This window comes from Homo sapiens, chromosome 15 (assembly GCF_000001405.40).
Source record: "Homo sapiens chromosome 15, GRCh38.p14 Primary Assembly".
Lineage (NCBI taxonomy): Eukaryota > Metazoa > Chordata > Mammalia > Primates > Hominidae > Homo > Homo sapiens.
Window position 1 is genome coordinate 32,028,058 of NC_000015.10, and position 19,717 is coordinate 32,047,774.

The 19,717-nt window shown below is 40.7% G+C and overlaps 2 protein-coding genes across 5 annotated transcripts in view, besides 1 other annotated feature; one reads left to right on the forward strand and one right to left on the reverse strand.

Moving 5' to 3' along the window:
* Positions 477-2,539, reverse strand: LOC124903441 (uncharacterized). Its single transcript, XM_047433397.1, has 3 exons — positions 2,500-2,539; positions 1,800-2,331; positions 477-550 (listed from the first exon to the last, which is right to left on the reverse strand). The coding sequence occupies exons 1-3, from the start codon at positions 2,537-2,539 to the stop codon at positions 478-480; spliced, it is 645 nt and encodes a 214-aa protein (XP_047289353.1). The 3' UTR covers position 477.
* Positions 2,426-19,717, forward strand: part of CHRNA7 (cholinergic receptor nicotinic alpha 7 subunit) — a 142,536-nt gene continuing 125,244 nt past the window's right edge. For 2 of the 4 annotated variants that reach the window (NM_000746.6, XM_011521178.4), the window contains exons 1-2: positions 2,458-2,592; positions 2,841-2,980. In NM_000746.6, coding sequence (NP_000737.1) covers positions 2,538-2,592; positions 2,841-2,980 — 195 coding nt within the window. In that variant the 5' untranslated portion in view covers positions 2,458-2,537. Of the gene's footprint in view, positions 2,680-2,840; positions 2,981-19,717 lie in introns of all 4 variants that reach the window. The other 2 variants (NR_046324.1, NM_001190455.3) reach the window with 2 other exon arrangements.
* Positions 2,517-3,082: an enhancer, noted in NCBI's record as "H3K4me1 hESC enhancer chr15:32322777-32323342 (GRCh37/hg19 assembly coordinates)". NCBI's record gives its function as "activates a minimal SCP1, AML or CMV promoter by ChIP-STARR-seq in primed H9 embryonic stem cells {active_cell/tissue: H9 hESC(primed)}" and the evidence as "EXISTENCE:reporter gene assay evidence [ECO:0000049][PMID:30033119]".

Genomic DNA, 19,717 nt, shown 5'->3' on the forward strand with positions numbered 1-19,717 from the left:
TTTCCCCCTATCCGGAGCCCAAGCAGAAAACATGCTTCCTTCCACTTCCCTGGCTAATGGTTGAGGTTTCCTGGTCTTTTTTACACTGGAAAGGAGATTACACCAATTTCTGGATTTATGTGAATATCTCAGTTCCAGTTCCCCACCTCTCATAGGCCCCAAGCCCAAGGTCACCTTACCTCCTGAGAGTGTGTTAAAATTTCCCTCTTACCCATAGAATCTATATTTTTGGTATGCCCAGGCATGTATTCACATCCTGCTATGTTTTATTTGCTGTTTTTTTTTTGTTTTTTTTTGTTTTTTTTTTTTTTGCTTTGGGAACGGGAGTGAGTGTAGAACCTATACAGTCCCGTCAGCTCTATTCCAAGAATGTTCTGCTCTTTTCTTCGTTTCACAAATGAAAAACCTGAGTCCCATAGATGGGAGTCAATACAGCCAAACTCACAGACCTACCTATGGCACAGGGGAGACTGAAGTTTATTTTCCAACTTCCAGCAGTCCTACATTGTAAGCTGAGTGAGTGGACTGCGCTTGCAGGTCCTCCAGGTGCCTAGCGAGAACAGAGGACAAATAAATATTTACGAATTGCTTGTCTCACCTGAAAATGGTTTATTTCTAGGTTTCTGATATTATGGGGTGCAATGGCGGTAAAGAAGCAGTTCTGGTTTCAGGAATGTGATCCTGATAGCCATACTCCAGAAAAAATCAATAAATTCCCTTGGCCCCATGGGCTCATGCTCTTCTAGAAGGGAAGACAGGGCTCTTAGGTACTTTCAGCGCTCGTAGAAGAGTGTTGTTACAGTCCCATGACCAGTGCAGGGGATGTGCCACTGAGAATCTTTTCACTGATGCTTCATGGGCTTTCTCTATTCTGCTACTGGGTTTTATTTCCCTTCTTCTAATTCTCCCTTTACCAACAACTAATCCCCTGTAGATAATTAATTCATCAAGTGCCTGCTCTGTGATGTCCGGACTGCTAGAAGTGGTAGGGGGACTCAAGAGCCAGATGAAGCTAAGGGCACGCCTGTCTGCTCTCCAGGGACCCCTGGCGTCCCTTTCTCCTGGCAGAATGACTGCTATCCTTTGAGGTGAATCCAGTTCAGCTGTCACCTCTTCTATTAACCACTCTCCAAAAACAGCTAATCCTTCTTCTAGGCTCTTACCGCAGTTATGAAAGCCTATGCTGACCCTTTGTTTAAACATGTGTACATTAACAGTAATACATTTAAGACACTTCATGGCAAGGGCAATATACTGCGTTATTCTTCCAAATCAAATAGTTGGGCTCAGTCCCCCATTCCTGCTACTGGGGTACAGTCAAGCTCAGTCACCTTTTGGTGAGCCTTTCCCTAGTTCTTGGAGTCTTAAAAGAATCCCGTGGTTTTCGGCAGTTCAGAAACCCAGGCATTGCCGCTGCGTGGTCCACGGGAGTTGCTCTGGTGGAGCTCGGATGCCCGGGGGCTGCAGGAAAGAAGGTGGCAGCGCCCCCTACGCGGACGCAGGGCGCTGCTGTGCTCAGCAGAAGGGAGCAAATGGGATGGAGCTTCAGCCACCCTGGAAGCCGCCCCTTGGCGCCTTCCTCCCTCCCTTCCTCTTTCCAAAATCAAGCCCCCTCTTCAACATCAAGAACTCTCCGCACTCCCTGGACCTCTCAGAGCCTCTCCTCATTTACTCTTTCCAATGCGCTGGCTCAAAAGAGCCTAGATAAGAACACCAAGTTCTGGCTGTCCTTCCAGCAAAGAGTTAGGAGTTAACTTTTCAATCTTTTTTAATCTCCTTTAAAAAAGAATGAGCCATACATTAGGGTAACCACTGGGAATCCCATCACACACATTGGCGGCATCTCTCCTCCCCGACAGGGTGCCTCCAGCACTTCAGATCCCAGCCGAGAGTCTGGCTGCTGGCGCCCAGCAAACGGTGCGGAAAGCAAACCGGGGCTCGCGGAAAGCGGGAGGAGGGGGGCTTCCTCGGGTCTGTTTTGTCTGGTTGGCAAGACTTCCGAAGCCTGGTTCCCTATAGCTGCCACCCGGTCGCTGGCGTGGAGGAGGGAGTCCGGGAAGACTGGACCCCAGAATTGTCCCGGCTTTCTCCCGAGTGCCCAGCGCAGCTTCTGGCTGAGAGCGGGAGCGGGCTGAGTGGGGACAAAGAACGCAAGGGAGAGGTAGAGCCTGGCCTTGGGCAGCCCCTGGCCTGGCCAGAGGCGCGAGGCCGAGAGCCCGCTCGGTGGAGACTGGGGGTGGAGGTGCCCGGAGCGTACCCAGCGCCGGGAGTACCTCCCGCTCACACCTCGGGCTGCAGTTCCCTGGGTGGCCGCCGAGACGCTGGCCCGGGCTGGAGGGATGGGGGGGCGGGGACGGGGGCGGGGGCGGGGCTCGTCACGTGGAGAGGCGCGCGGGGGCGGGCGGGGCGGGGGCGCGCGCCCGGCTCCTTAAAGGCGCGCGAGCCGAGCGGCGAGGTGCCTCTGTGGCCGCAGGCGCAGGCCCGGGCGACAGCCGAGACGTGGAGCGCGCCGGCTCGCTGCAGCTCCGGGACTCAACATGCGCTGCTCGCCGGGAGGCGTCTGGCTGGCGCTGGCCGCGTCGCTCCTGCACGGTAAAGCCACTGCCTCCCCGCCCTCCACTCCTCCGTGGGATCCCGGGCACATCCCGGGCGCCTCTGTGCGCCCCGCGCCTGGGCCAGGTTTGGGATCTCCCCGCCGCCGGGGAGGGGCAGCGGGGGCGCTGCGGGGGCTGCTTGTCTGGGCTGCACCGGGTGGGCGGCGGGGGACGCCGGCAGGAGGGAGTCGGGGGTACCCCCGCCGGCCTGCCCTGAGCCCCCTGCCCGGGTCTTCTCTCCTTAAGTGTCCCTGCAAGGCGAGTTCCAGAGGAAGCTTTACAAGGAGCTGGTCAAGAACTACAATCCCTTGGAGAGGCCCGTGGCCAATGACTCGCAACCACTCACCGTCTACTTCTCCCTGAGCCTCCTGCAGATCATGGACGTGGTGAGTCCCGCCTGGCTACAGGGCTGCCCTCTCCCCTTCCTGGGCTCCGAGGGGCTTTTTAGACAGCGTCGGGCGGCCAGGCGGTGGAGCTCGGCTGGGGCACTCTAGTTGGCCCCAAGCTAGGCAGGGCCATGCTCTGAGTCTGTCCCCAGCCTGCCCTCTCCTGAGTGTCTCATTTCTCGGTTTCCCCTCCAGCCAAGGAGGGACCTGGTAAAGCTTATTCCATCACCCTGGCCACCTGTGCATGGTTACTTGGGTCCCACCTTTCTCTCAGGTTAGAAACTCAAGCATCCTGAGCTGGGACTCAGTAGCAAGAACAGGTGAAGTTCACTTTTTAATCTCCCTTATGGTGTAAGTGTTGACTTGCATTCCAGCATTGTCAATTTAGCCACTTCTAGACTTTTCTGCCGCCTATGGTATGTAACTTCTTTGGTGGGGGCCTGGCCCTGAGCTTTGCAGCTGGCGAATCTATCCAGGCAGAGGGCAAGAGGGCCAGCTGTGAACTTTCACTGTGACCCCATCTTAGGAATGGGCATGCTTTGCCTTCCTGGTGAGGACAGGTACTGGGAGTCCTGCTCCGAGGACTCAGGGTTCCCCGTCAGGAATACATGTGTCTGTCCCTCCAGGCAGCTGCCATCAGTTCCGTGGGTCTCTTGCCTTGCAGCCTTGCTAGTGCCCACTTCAGTTAGCCAATCTGTGTAAACTTGCCTATTGTTCCTCTATGCTGCTTTGGATATTCAATATTCATGGTATATTCTCCATACAATACAAATACTTCACACAAGTGTTTAATTCATTATAAGTGGGTTTGGTGTCTTGTCTATACGGAGTATCGGATTCTATTGTGGAGCACCCTGGAGTGTGGCAGGGTGGGGCACAGGGATAATAATGTTCATTGGGAGGGAGAGCATGATGGGAAAGAGGTGAGAGAATAGCCACAATTACTGGTTAAAAAAGAAATAGTGCTAAGAGCTACCTGGCAAAGTGGAAAAAGGTAAGAGGTGATATTTCATAATCCTACAAATAAACAGTTACCCGCACTATCATGTTGATGAATGGTATATCACTTAACCTAGTTAAAATTGCCATCATACATTGCCTCCTTTCCAACGCTACACTCGCCTCAAATGTGTTCTTCCTCCTACAGACAGAATCATGCTTTAAAATATTGAATGTATATGTGATGATGTGGAAAAGTTATCATGAGAAGAGCTGTAGGGGAAGGCAGGTTCAGTCTCATGTGTTGCAGAGCAGCAAAAGTTGCTGTTTATGGAGCAGTTCCTCAGTTGCTTTAAAGAGCTCAGGATTTGTACTTGGGATCTTCGGTGGGTTCTGTCTGTGTTGGTTTCTGGATGGCTGCTGTTAGGTAAGTTTCTTAAGCATCTTGAGCCTTGGCTTTCCGGCTAATAAAATGCACACTGTCAGTCATTGTGATCAACTAAAGAATATGGAAACAACTTGAAGAGACCTTAAAGCTAGATATGTGATTATGGTCATTTTCATGCAGAAACCACATGAAAAAGGACCAGGCAGCAGAGCTAACACACCCCGCAAGTGGTGTGTGACAGGGTGAGAAAGGGACAGTAGCCCCCTCTTCCCCCATTTGTCCAGGGTCAACTCCAGCCAGGCTGTCACACTGTTTGTGTCTGCTCCACAGCTGTCTCTCTTGGAGTGGGTGACCCTGTATTGCCTGGATGGGGGTGATGGTGTAGTAGCCCCTCAGTAGAGGAACAGGAGGAAGTCAGTAGAACAGGCTCCTGAGGTTGCAAAGGCTGCGGCAGCACCTTTTGGAGAAGAGACCACTCGCGGAGAAGCTGCAGGCTTTCTTCTGGGAACTTCTTCTTTAAGAGACTCTTAAGAAACCAAGTTATTATGAGGAGCTCTGAGTCTTAGGAGAAGTTTAGGCATAAGTTAGTGTTATACTACATGAACATTTAAAATAACTTTTGTCATGTTAGAAAATTACAAAAATAGCACATTGGCACTTTGTGTCAATGACATTCCAGTGTCCTTAGGAAATGCATGTGAAGAAGGCTGTCAGCAGCCAGAGGTCATGGGAAGGGGGCGGGAGAAAGTTTATCTCTCACCTTAGCCGTGGTATTGGCTGTGAACACATTGAACTTCCCAGCCAGGCAATGCTATGTTCATGGAGTGGCCTTGAACAAACTCACTTACCTTTCTAAGCTCTGTTTTCTCATGTGTTAAATGAGAATAATAATACCTGCTTCAGAGGGTTTTGAGAGGATTAAATGAGAGAAAGTGCTTGCCCACACTGGTGATTCACTGAAGGTCTGCTCCATCTTAATTATGTAACTACTCAACTCAGAGGTCAAGAAGTCCATGCCTAGAAGGGTGTGGTCACATGCCCAAGGTCACTCTGTGATTAGAGGTAGGGCTATGAGGAAAACCAACATCGGACAAGTCCTTTGTCTTTCATCTGCTGCTTCCTTTAGACTTGGTAACTTCGGCAGAACAAAGTCATTTAATTTATTTAAACTGGGTGAATTGTAACTAATTTAATGTGACTTTCCTGAGATCCTGGATGAAGCCGAAGTCTCTATCAGACATAACAAAATATGCAAACATTTGTATTCCAGCCTTACTTGGCTCTGCCTGGTTTTTGAAGCAGAGCCAGGTCTCTCCAGCTGAAATCTCAGCGCTCTGGACAGAGACACAATGGTTCTCATAAAGGCTTCGTGTGGCAAAATCTTGGCTGGTATAGATTCTCTTTACACATTTGTTGCCCATTTTAACTGGACTGTTCTAGAGACCATAGTAGTTGGTTTTCCTACTCCCAAATATTGTTATTGATTGCTTTTGTTTGTCAGCAGAGATTCCTGACTGGAGTGATAGGAAGACACCATATGATGTTACATATTTGATTTTTGTGAAAGATCATTTACTCTTTAATCAATTTATTCCACACATGCTATTGAGCTCCTGTTGTAGACTTTGACAAATTCTGAGAATTAACAGAAAGATGAGGGATTATTTTTCCTTTCAGAGATCTCATGAGCTGGCTAGGGAGATTAAAAAGTAAATCCAAAATTACATGTGATGAAATTTAACATAAATATCTATACAAAGTGCTAGAAAACATTGTGTTCAACTAGAGCAGCTGAGAGTGGCTTCAAAGAGATGGTGGTTAGAGTTCTAAAGATGAGAAGGAGTTTGCCACTGAAAGTAGGAAATCTTTTCCAGGTTGAGGAAAGACTGAAAGTGCAGTGGAGGACAGCTCACTTTCAACAAGGTGTGTTTTATGGGACACTGGCAACCTGTTGATCTTTACTACAGGTTTTGCTGCAAGACTTCTCAGAAAATTTATGCTATGTTTTTTGAGACATTCTAAAAGACCAATATAGTACTGACCAAACTACTGATAGTTTTATAGACCCTTTTGTAAGAATTATATGCTCTAGAAGCACACCTTACAAGGGGGAGGCTATGATTTTTCTTTGGTAGGAGGTGCTAGATGAGTGTGGGGACAGTAAGGTTGCAGTGTGTGAGGCGTCCTGAGTTCCTCTGCAAGTTTGCATTTCACCTGGCCCTAGTCTAGGCATCTCTGAGGGCATGAGGAGGCAGTGTGCCAGGGGTTTTGTGAAGCTGTAAGACCAGCCTGCCATAGCATATTTTCCTAGAAAAGGAAATAGTCCAAACCATGATATTTGTATTAAATTCAAGTATAAATTATAGATTGGAGTGAAAAAACTTTGCATACATTTTAGAGGTACAACATGAGTCCTCAAAGGAATTGCTTGACCTGCTGTTATTCAACAGGCTCCTTCATGAAGCACTAGGCAGAGGGGGAAGATATGGTGGGTCGTTAAACAGGGGAGGGAAGTAACCGAATCTCTGCTTAAGCAGAAGATGCTGAGAGCAGTGAGTGTGAGACGGGTCAGAGAGGAGAGAAAGGTAACGGACAAGGAGGTTGAAACTAGGATGGCCACTGTGGGAATGTGGAGAAGGGGGCAGATTTAAGAGATGTTTTGGATATATTGTCTATGATCTATAACTGTGTGTATAAACATCATGAATATACATCAATAAATTTGCTAAGTGAAAGTGCCTAAATTATTCTTATATGCACACACTGACTTCTGGTGATTATTAATTTACTTCCTGGGCTTGTAACTGGGCTGGGAATGAGATAATACATAAGAAATCATTTTGAAGTGATGCATGTGTGAGGTTCTAATCTGCCAAGTTTCCATAATGTTTCTTTCTCCTTTATTTGTGCTGTTTAGTCAGTCACCTGAGCACATGCATCTGAAGGCCATTCTAAGTGATTTGCATAAAATAAATATGCATTGGTTATGAAGCATGTCCAGAAGTCAAGTTTGTTAATAATATGAACCAACATGTAATTATATACAAATGTAAAACACATAATTATACAAGATTGACTATTTTGGTATTTTATTGATTTGAAATGCAGACTCAGCTTTTTGGAAGCTTTAGTCACAAGACCGTAGAACTAAGTGGTCATGCACTTACGTTTTGGCACTGAAGATGGCAGGCAGGGCTGTGGAGCCCAGTATCCTAAGGGCTTATGTGTTATCTGAATTCCTTTGGGGGGCCCTCTGTGTAGGTTTGCAATATGTATGATTTTACATTCATTAGCCACTATTTAAAATGCTACAACTCCAACAAAATACTGTCAAATATTATAAAACCCACATACCTAGAATATATTGTAAAAAGAAATGCTGAAGGTATAATCAGGTATTGATCTTTATCATTTAAAAAAATCTTTACTTTTTTGAGCAGTTTTAGCTTCACAGCAAAATGAAGAAGAAGGTACAGAGATTTCCCACAGCTTCCTCAATTATCAACATTCCCCACTAGAGTAGTATATTTGTTACGACTGATGAACTTACATTGACACATCATCATCACCCCAAATGCATAGTTTATAAGAAGGTTCCCTCTTGGTTTTGTATAATCTATGGGTTTGGGCAAATGTATAATGGCATAATGTGTAATACCCTCATTATGGTATCATACAGAGTATTTTTACTCTCCTGAAATTTCTTTGTGCTCTCCCTGCTTATCACTACCTTCACCACAGCTCTTGGCAGCCGCTGACCTTTTGTTGTCTCCATAGTTGAACCCTTTCCACAATGTCGTATGGTTGGAATCATACAGTCTGTAGCCTTTTCAGATGGACTTATTTCACTTAGTAATATGCATTTATGCTCTCTCCATACTCTTTCATGGCTTGATAGCTCACTCCTTTTTAGCACTGAATAATATGCCAGTGGTCTGGATGTAGCACAGTTCATTTATCCATTCACCTCCGGAAGAACATCTTGGTTGCCTCCAAGTTTTGGCAATTATGAGTAAAGCTGCTGTAAGCATCTTGTGCAGATTTTTACGTGAACATAAGGTTTCAATCACTTGTGTAAATACCAACGAGGGCACTTGCTGGTTCGTATGCTAAGAGTATGTTTAATTTTCTAAGGAAATCACAGACTATCTCCCAAAGTGGATGTACCATTTTACATTCTCACCAGCAATGAATGAGAGCCCCTGTTGCCCTTTATCCATGTCAGCATTTGGTGTTGTCAGTGTTCTAAGTTTTAAGCATTCCAATAGGTGTGTAGTGGAATCTCATTGTTTTATATTTGCATTTCCCTGATGACATATGATGTGGAGCATTTTTTCAGAAGCTTATTGCCATCTGTAGGTCTTCTTTGGTAAGGTGTCTGTTAAGGTCTTTGGCCAAGTTTTCAGTGGGTTTTTTTTTTTTTTTCTTATTTCTGAATTTAAGAGTTTTTGTATATTTTTGATGACAGTCCTTTATCAGGTATGTCTTTTGCAAATATTTTTCCCAGTCAGTACCTTGTTTTCTCATTCTCTTTACATTGTATTTCACAGAACATACATTTTTAACTTTAGTGAAACCCATCTTTTCAATTCTTTCTTTTATGGATTGTGCCTCTGGTATTGTATCTAAAAAGTTACTGCAATATCCAAGGTCATACAGGTTTTCCTCTATTATCTTCTAGGAGTTTTATAGTTTTGCACTTTACATTTAGGTCTGTGGTCCACTTTGAGTTAATTTTTATGAAGGGTGTAAGGTCCGTGTCTACATTTATCTTTTTGCATGTGATTGTCCAGTTGTTGTAGCACCATTTGTTGAAAAGATGATCTTTGCTCCATTTTATTGCCTTTGCATCTTTGTCAAAGATCAGCTGATTATATTCATGTGAGTCTTATTTCTGGGTTCTCTGTTGTGTTTTGTCGATCTCTTTGTCTATTCTTTCATCAATAACACAGTCTTGATTACTATAGCTTTATCCTAAGTCTTGAAGTTTGGTAGTATCAGTCCTCCAACTTTGTCGTTCCTCAACATTGTGTTGGCTATTCTGGGTCTTTTGCGTCTCTCTATAAACTTTATAATTGCTTTATCGATACCCACAAAATAACCTTCTGGGATTTGATTGAATCTGTAGATCAAGTTGGGAAGAACTGACATATTGACAATACTGAATTTTTCTATTCATGAACATAGAACAGCTCTTTAGTTAGTTCTTCCTTTATTTTGTTTGTAAGAATTTTGTAGTTTTACTCATATAGATCTTGTAAATACTTTACTTGATTTTTACCTAAGTGCTTAATTTTTGAGGGGTTAAATGGTATTATGATTTCAATGTCAAATTCTACTTGTTAATTGCCGAAATATAGGAAAGCGATTTACTTTTACATGTTAACCTTGTCTTCTGCAAAGTTGCTGTAATTGTTTATTAGCTCCTGGAGATTTTTTTTTTGGTCAGTTATTTTGGGTTTTCTACATGAACGATCATGTCATCTGCGATCAAAGACAGCTTTATTTCTTTTTTCCCAGTCTATATACTTTTTATTTCCTTTTTCTTGTCCTTTTGTATTAGCTAGTACTTCCAGTGTGCTATTGAAAGGAGTGGGAGAGGGGACAACCTTGACTTGTTCCTAATCTTAGTGGGAAAGCTTCAGTTTTCTTATCATTAGGTATGATGTTAGCTATAGGTTTTTTGGATATGTATATATATATATATAAATATACATATGTACATACATTTTGTGTATATGTAAAATATGTGTACATGTTTACATTTATGTATAAATATGTACATACATTTTGTATATTTATTTACATTTATATAAACATATTTTGTATATATAATATACATATTTTATATATACATATGAAAAATATGTATATACACACATATACAAAAAACCTACAGCTAACATCATACTTAATGATATATATATTTATCAAGTTGAGGAAGTTCTCCCCTATTCCGTTTACTGAAAGTTTTTGTGATGAATAGGAGTTGGATTATGTCAAAATTGTTTTCATCTATTGATATAATCATATGATTTTTCTTTTGTAGCCTGTTGATGTAATGGATTATATTAATTTTTTAATGTTGAGCCAGCCTTGAATATCTGGAATGAATCTCACTTGACCATGGTGTATAATTCTTTTTGTACATTGTTGAGATAAATTTGCTAATTTTTAAATTTTTGGTTGAGACGGGGTTTCACTATGTTGCTCAGGCTGGTCTTGGACTCCTGAGCTCAGTTGATCTGCCTGTCTCAGCCTCCTAAAGTGCTAGGATTGGAGGCGTGAGCCACCACAACGTGCTAATATTTTGTTGAGCATTTTTGAATCTGTGTTCATCAGTGATACTGGTTTGTGGTTATCTTTTCTTAGAATGTCTTTATCTGCCATTTGTATTAGGGTAATGCAGGCCTCATAGAATGTTTTAGGAAGTATTTCCTCTGCTTGTGTACTCTGAAAGAGACTGTAGATAATTGGTATAATTTCTTTTTTAAATTTGTAGACTTCACCAGTGAGCCCTTCTGGGCCTGTTGCTTTCTGTTTTGGAAGGTTATTATTATTTGATTCAATTGCTCTGATAGATATAGGCCCATTCAAATTGTTTATTTCTTCTTGTTTGAGTTTTGAGAAATTTTGTCTTTCAAGGAGTAGTCCATTTTATCTAGGTTATAAAATTTGTGAGCATAGAATTGTTCATAGTATTTATTTGTTATCCTTTTAATGCCCATGGGCTGTGTAATGATGTCTTCTACTTCTGATATTAGTTATTTTTGTCCTTTCTCATTTTTTTCTTATTTAGCCTGGCTAGATGCTTATTGATTTTATTGATCATTTTTCAAAAAACAGATTTTGTTTTTGTTCATTTCCTCTATTGATTTCCTGTTTACAATTTTGTTGATTTCTACTCTAATTTTTAGTATTTCTCTGCTTATTTTGGACTTAATTTGCTCTTTTTTCTAGTTTCCTAAAGTAGAAGCTTAGAATACTGATTTTTAGATCTTTCATTTCTGTACATTTCAATACTGTATTCAGGGCTATAGATTTTCGCTTAAGGACTTCTTTTGCTGCATCCCACAAATTTTGATAAGTTGTGTTTTCATTTTCATTTCAGTTAAAATATTTCAATGTCTCTTGAGAATTCTTCTTTGAGGCATATATTATTTAAAGGCATATTGTCTAATCTCCACGTATTTTTGGATTTTTCAGTAATCTTTCTGTTACTGATTTCTAGTATAATTTCTTTGTATTCTGATAGCAGGCAATGTGTAATTTCTATTCTTTTAAATTTGTTAAGGCTCTTTCTGTGGCACAATTATGGGGAATATTCCATGTGAACTTGAGAAGAATGTGTATTCTGCTGTTGTTGGATAAAATAGTCTATAGATGTTGCTTATATCCAATTGATGGACAATGTTTTGAGTTCAATCATGTTTATACTGGTTTTCTGCTTGCTGGTTCTTCAAATTTCTGGTAGAGGGGTGTTAAAGTTTCCAACTGTGAAAATGGATTTACCTATTTATCCTTGTAGGTCTAATAGTTTTTGCCTCATTAGTTTGATGCTGTGTTTTTGGGCATATACACATTAAGGACTGTTATGTCTTTTTGTAGAACTGGTCTTTTTATCATTAAGTAATATCCTTTTTTATCCCTGGAAACTTTCCTTGCTTTGAAGTACGCTCTATCTGAAATTTACATAGCTATTCCTGCTTTCTTGGATTAGTGTTAGCATGGTATATTTTTCTCCATCCATAAGACACTGTTAATTTATATGTGTCTTTATATTTAGAGTGGGTTTTTTGTAGGCACATACAGTTGGGTCTTGTTTTTTGTTCTACTCTTACAGTCTCTTTAAATTGATGCATTTAGACCACTCAGAGTGATTGTCGATATAGTTGGATCAATAACTATCATATTTGTTACTGATTTTTTTGTTGTCCTTGTTCCTTATTTCAGTTTTTGTTTTCCACTCTGACTTTTATGGTTTAGTTGGACATTTTATATGGTTATGTTTTCCCTCCTTTCTTGGTGTATCAGTTATAGTTCTTTTTTTACTTTTTTAGTGGTTGCCCTAGAGTTTGCAATATACATTTACAACTAACCCAAGTCACCTTTCATGTTACATTATACCACTTCATGCATAATGAGAGCACTTTATAATGCAAAATAACATGAATTTCTTCCTCCTGTCCCTTGTACCATTTATTTCTTATAAGGTGCGTGTGTGTGTGTGTATATGTGTGTATGTGTGTGTGTGTATATGTATTATATATGTATATATTATATATACACAAAGTATAATAAAATACATTTTTGCTATTGTTACTTTGAACAAACTGTTATCTGTTAGATAAATTAATAAGAAAAACAAAAGTTTTTATTTTGCCTTCACTTTTTCCTTCTTCAGTGGTTCTTTCTTTAATTTAGATATGACTTTCAACCTGTATCGTTTCCCTTTTTTTAAAGAACTTCTTTTAACATTTTTTCAAGGCAGGTCTGCTTGAAACAAATTTCTTCAATTTTTGCCTGAGAATGTATTTTTTTTCCTTATCTTTTGAAGGATGATTTCAATAATTCTAGATTTGTGACTTTCTCTCTCAACACTAATTATTTTACTCTACTCTTTTTGCTTGCATGATTTCATGTAAGTCAGATGTAATTCTTACCTTTTTGGTCCTCTAAAGGGAAGGGTTTTTTGTCTGCCTTTGGCTTCCTTCAGGATTTTATCTTTATCTTTGTTTATAGTTTGAAATGATATACTTAGATGTTGGATTTTTTTTCCCCCACATGTATCAGCTTGCTGTTTTCTGAGATTCCTGGATGTGTGGTTTGGTGTTTGACACTAATTTGGGGAAATTCTCAATCATTGTTTCAAATACTTCTGTTCCTTTCTCTACTTCAACAGTCCCCAACCTTTTTGACACCAGGGACCTGTTTTGTGGAAGACAATTTTTCCATAGACTGTCGGGGGCCATGGTTTTGGGATGAAACTGTTCCACCTCAGATTGTCAGGCATTCATTAGATTCTCATAAGGAGCGTGCAACCTAGATCCCTTGCATGTGAAATTCACAATAGGGTTTGTGTTCCTGTAAGAATGTCACGCTGCCGCTGATCTGACCGGAGGCGGAGCTCAGGCAGTAATGCTCCCTGACCTGCCCCTCACCTCCTGGTGTGTGGCCCAGTTCCTAACAGTCCAGGTGACAGGTACTGGCCTGTGGCCTGGGGGTTGGGGAACCCTGCTCTACTTCTTCTCCTTCTCGCATTCCCATCACACATATGTTACACCATTTGTAATTGTCCCACAATCCTTGGATATTCTATTCTGTTGTTTTCAGTCTTTGTTCTCTTTGCTTTTCAGTTTTCAAAATTTCGATTGATATTCCTCATACTAGGGATTCTTTCCTCAGCTGTATCCAACCTACTAGTAAGCCTATCAAATATATTCTTTATTTTTGTTACATTATTTTTGATTGCTGGAATTTCTTTTTGGTTATGTCTTAGGAGTTCCATCTCTGTGCTTACATTGTTTAACTGTTCTTGCATGATGTCTGCTTTTTCCATTAGAGCCTTTAGCTTATTAATCATAGTTGTTGTAAATTCTGATCTGATAATTCCAATACTGCTGCTATGTCTGGTACTAATGCATGTTCTGTCTCTTCAAATTGTGTTTTTTGTTTGTTTTTTGCCTTTTAGTATGCTTTGTAATTTTTTCTTGATTGGTGGCTGTGATGTACCAGGTAAAAGGAACTGCTGTAAATTAATAAGTTACTAATGTAGTGTTAAGGTGTGGAGGGAGGGGAAGCATTCTATACTCCTATGATTAGGTCTCAGTTTTTTAGTGAGCCTTTCCCTCTGGACACGAACTTCATAGGTGTTTCTCAGTTTGTTTCTCCCCACTTGAGTGCGATAGGATGGCTAGAGTGGGTGGAGTTCAGTATTTCCCTTCCCTTGTGTCAGGTAAGCTCTCATAATACCCCGGAGGGTTAGACTCTGGTTAATTCATTTCTCCTGATGGCAGGCCTTATTAAAAACAACAGAAAATTCTGGCACATTTCCAAGTGGTTTCTTTCACTTCCCTCTGGTGGAAGGATGAGGGAACATTTCTTCAGTATTTCCTGTGGGAACCTGGTAGAGCTTCTGGAGGTAAATCTCATGATATTTGGGAACCCCCTATGATTGAATCCTTTTGGAATTTTTAACTTTCAAAGTTGTACACACTGAGCCTCCAGGAATTTGCCAATTCCAGTTTCAGGTTTTCTTACTCTGCTGCTGGTTCCTGTGGTGGTTTTGCTGATTAGTCTCTGCTCTGGAAAGTCCTGGCTCTCTGTATGTCCCTGTTTGTCCCCCTAATCTTGAGAGCAGAAGTTCATCCTGTGTGTTCCCCTCTTAGTTGGGCTCCAAGAAGAGCTGTTGTTTTTCTAGTGTGTTCACCTTTTTACTTGTTAGGACAAAGTTCATTCTGAGCTTCTTGCATCAGGAACCAGGAACTGGATCTAATAATGTTTTTATAAGATACATTTCTTAAAATGACAAAAGTAATATGTGTTTGTACAGGAGCTAAATTAAACAAACCAAAAAAAGAATCAAGAAGTTGAAAATCAAGGGGGTAAAAATCAGCACACACAAGGCATTCTGGCAGAGTTCATGCTATCTTTTCTTTATGTTTATAGATGTGTAGAGAAATATTTAAATATTTAAAAGTTAAAAGGTATAAACATGATGTATGGTGCCTTAAGCAGTATTAACAGGCATTGATTTTAAAGTGGTACACTTAGGCCCATTAGTAAACAAATACAGATTTTAAAATACATTTATATGTTTTCTTCATTAACTCTTACCATCACTGCATATTCAATCTATATTCCTTTTGTAATTTAAAAACCATTTTAAAAATGTGTTTAAATGATTTATGATGATACTTATAAGTAACACATAGTTGGGTTTTTAAAAAAATTGAATTTGATAATCTTTGTATTTTAGTTATCCTTCATGTGGTTACTGATCTATTTGGTTTTAAATCTATCCTTCACTGTTTACTTCCACTTACCCTTGTCTCTTCTATGTTCTTTTTTTCCTCTTTTTTCTTACACTTTTCTGGATTAATTGCTCATTTTATATTATTCTAATTTTCTCTTCTATTAGTTTGTTAGTCATATTTCTTTCTTTTTGTCTTACAGTGGTTGATCTGGAGATTACAATAGGAATCCATGACTAAGTAAAGTCTAGTGAAAGTCGTCAACCTTTCTGTACAATGTGAGGACTTTACAACACTTTAATTCCATAATTCCAATTTATCTACTGTTATTGTCATATATTTTATTTCTATAAATATATTTAAACCTTATAAGATTATAATTGTCTTTTACAGTCAGTATTCTTTTAGATTTACTCGTATATTTACCTTTTTTGTTACTTTAATTCCTCCCTGTATCTTCTAACTTTCATCTGAGATAATTTTCCTTCTGCCCTTTAGACTTCTCTTTCTTGAGAGTCTGGAAGTAGCACAATTTCTCCATGTTTGTTTCAAAACTTATTTATATTGCCTAATTTTTGTGTGATAATTCAGAAATACAGACTTTGTGTTGCCGGTTAGTTACAGCACTTTTATATACAGCATAGTGTCTATAGTCGATTACCCTAGTGTTTTCTGACTTCAGTACTTCTCTTAAGAGGTCAGCTGTATGCCTTACTGTTGCTTCTCTGTTCTTGTTTTCTTTGGTCACTTTTAAATTTTATTCTTTGTCTTTGATTTTTAACAGTTTTGCTATGATAAGAATATGTTTCTGCTCTTTTGTTTTACCTGCTTGGGATTCAGAATGACTTATTGAATCTGTTCCTTGGTTTCATTCACAAGTTTTGGACAATTGTTGCCAGATCGATCGATCTTTTCCTCCTTCCTTCCTTCCTTCCTTCCTTCCTTCCTTCTTTTTTTGGGGATGGAGTCTCGCTGTGTTGCCCAGGTTGGAGTGCAATGGCACGATCTTGGCTCACTACAACCTCTGCCACCTGGATTCAAGCAATTCTTCTGCCTCAGCCTCCCGAGTAGCTGGAACTACAGGTGTGCACCACCACGCCTGGCTAATTTTTGTATTTTTAGTAGAGACAGGTTTTCACCATATTGGCCAGGCTGGTCTCCAACTCCTGACCTCATGATCCGCCTGCCTCAGCCTCCCAAAGTGCTGGGATTACAGGCGTGAGCCACTGTGCCCGGCCTAGATATTTCTTTAGATATGGCTTCTGCTCTATTTTTTCTGCCTTCCCTTTTTGGGACAATGATTACATGTTCACCACAGCTTTCACTTTATCTCAGTGATTCTCAACCAGGGGCAGTGTCTCTCCCCAGGGAATATTTGGCATTATCTTGAAAAAATTTCAGTTGCCCCAACTGGGGAGAAAGATGCTACTGACACTTACAGGGAAGAGGCTAGGGATGCTACTAAATGACCTATAGTGCATAGGGTGACTCCTCAAGAAAAAGAATTATCTGGCCCCCAATTTCAACAGTGCTGAGATGGAGAAGACTAATTTATTCCATATGCCTCCTATTCTTTGCGGCAATTCCCATTACTTTGTCTCTCCATGCTTCATCCGGTCCGTTTTCTGTTGACATATATTCAATATTCAGTCCTTGAATTCTCTCATTGTGTCTATCTGTTGTTAGTCCCATTTATTGACTCCTTTTTAAAGTTTCAGATATTGCATGCTTTAGTGTTAAGAGTTTCCTTTTGGTTCTTACGATGTTTTCTAGCTCTCAAGCTTGTTCTGATTTTCTTCAAATATATTAATAAGACTTTTTTTTATAGTCCCTGTCTGATAATTCCATTCTTAAGACACTTTGTGCCTCTGTTTTTATTAGTGATGGCTCTTTTTGCTTTTCTGTTACATGGTCTGTGCTCCTTCTGAGCCTGGTTGTGTTTGTAGTTTGTCCCAGACAATGTATGGGAAAAATGGTAGAGATGAGAGAACGGAGAACACTTTTACTCCTGTTAATATTTGCTTCTGACAACAGCCACCCCATGGGTACCAGCAACCACACATAACCTTAATTAGATTAGGGATTGAGAAGATACGAAGATGGGCTTCAGTCCCTTTAAGCGCTGGTTTGTTTCTGGTTCTTGCATATACATTCTAGGGCATAAATACAGAGAATTTACTAGAGTCTTCTCTCTCTTCAATAAGTTTTTTTTTTTTTGAGACAGAGTCTCACTTTGTCACCCAGGCTGGCATATGGTGGCACAGTCTCGGCTCACTGCAACCTCTCTCTCCCGGGTTCCAGTGATTCTCCTGCTTCAGCCTTCCAAGTAGCTGGTATTTTTTTTTAATATTTTAAGTTTTAGGGTACATGTGCACAACGTGCAGGTTTGTTACATATGTATACATGTGCCATGCTGGTGTGCTGCACCCATTAACTCGTCATTTAGCATTAGGTATATCTCCTAATGCTATCCCTCCCCCCTCCCCCCACCCCACAACAGTCCCCAGAGTGTGATGTTCCCCTTCCTGTGACCATGTGTTCTCATTGTTCAATTCCCATCTATGAGTGAGAACATGTGGTGTTTGGTTTTTTGTCCTTGGGATAGTTTACTGAGAATGATGATTTCCAATTTCATCCATGTCCCTACAAAGGACATGAACTCATCATTTTTTATGGCTGCATAGTATTCCATGGTGTATATGTGCCACATTTTCTTAATCCAGTCTATCATTGTTGGACATTTGGCTTGGTTCCAAGTCTTTGCTATTGTGAATAGGGCCACAATAAACATACGTGTGTGTGTGTCTTTATAGCAGCATGATTTATAGTCCTTTGGGTATATACCCAGTAATGGGATGGCTGGGTCAAATGGTATTTCTAGTTCTAGATCCCTGAGGAATCGCCACACTGACTTCCACAATGGTTGAACTAGTTTACAGTCCCACCAGCAGTGTAAAAGTGTTCCTATTTCTCCACATGCTCTCCAGCACCTGTTGTTTCCTGACTTTTTAATGATTGGCATTCTAACTGGTGTGAGATGGTATCTCACTGTGGTTTTGATTTGCATTTCTCTGATGGCCAGTGATGATGAGCCTTTTTTCATGTGTCTTTTGGCTGCATAAATGTCTTCTTTTGAGAAGTTTCTGTTCATATCCTTTGCCCACTTTTTGATGGGGTTGTTTGTTTTTTTCTTGTAAATTTGTTTGAGTTCATTGTAGATTCTGGATATTAGCCCTTTGTCAGATGAGTAGGTCGCGAAAAGTTTCTCCCATTTTGTGGGTTGCCTGTTCACTCTGATGGTAGTTTCTTTTGCTGTGCAGAAGCTCTTTAGTTTAATTAGATTCCATTTGTCAATTTTGGCTTTTGTTGCCATTGCTTTTGGTGTTTTAGACATGAAGTCCTTGCCCATGCCTATGTCCTAAATGGTAATGCCTAGGTTTTCTTCTAGGGTTTTTATGGTTTTAGGTCTAACGTTTAAGTCTTTAATCCATCTTGAATTAATTTTTGTATAAGGTGTAAGGAAGGGATCCAGTTTCAGCTTTCTACACATGGCTAGCCAGTTTTCCCAGCACCATTTATTAAATAGGGAATCCTTTCCCCATTGCTTGTTTTTGTCAGGTTTGTCAAAGATCAGATAGTTGTAGATATGCGGCGTTATTTCTGAGGGCTCTGTTCTGTTCCATTGGTCTATATCTCTGTTTTGGTACCAGTACCATGCTGTTTGGTTACTGTAGCCTTGTAGTATATAGTTTGAAGTCAGGTAGCGTGATGCCTCCAGCTTTGTTCTTTTGGCTTAGGATTGACTTGGTGATGCGGGCTCTTTTTTGGTTCCATATGAACTTTAAAGTAGTTTTTTCCAATTCTGTGAAGAAAGTCATTGGTAGCTTGATGGGGATGGCATTGAATCTATAAATTACCTTGGGCAGTATGGCCATTTTCACGATATTGATTCCTCCTACCCATGAGCATAGAATGTTCTTCCATTTGTTTGTATCCTCTTTTATTTCATTGAGCAGTGGTTTGTAGTTCTCCTTGAAGAGGTCCTTCACATCCCTTGTAAGGTGGATTCCTAAGTATTTTATTCTCTTTGAAGCAATTGCGAATGGGAGTTCACTCATGATTTGGCTCTCTGTTTGTCTGTTATTGGTGTATAAGAATGCTTGTGATTTTTGTACATTGATTTTGTATCTTGAGACTTTGCTGAAGTTGCTTATCAGCTTCAGGAGATTTTGGGCTGAGACAATGGGGTTTTCTAGATATACAATCATGTCATCTGCAAACAGGGACAATTTGACTTCCTCTTTTCCTAATTGAATACCCTTTATTTCCTTCTCCTGCCTGATTGCTCCGGCCAGAACTTCCAACACTATGTTGAATAGGAGTGGTGAGAGAGGGCATCCCTGTCTGTGCCAGTTTTCAAAGGGAATGCTTCCAGTT

Bases quoted from the DNA above. Each gene is read 5' to 3' on its own strand.
- LOC124903441 (XM_047433397.1), bottom strand. From the start codon at position 2,539: ATGTTGAGTCCCGGAGCTGCAGCGAGCCGGCGCGCTCCAC. The intron at 2,332-2,499 runs GTCTCGGCTGTC...CCATCCCTCCAG, and splicing joins AGCGAGCCGGCGCGCTCCAC to CCCGGGCCAGCGTCTCGGCG. The intron at 551-1,799 runs GTATGGCTCATT...TGTTCTCGCTAG, and splicing joins TTCCCAGTGGTTACCCTAAT to GCACCTGGAGGACCTGCAAG.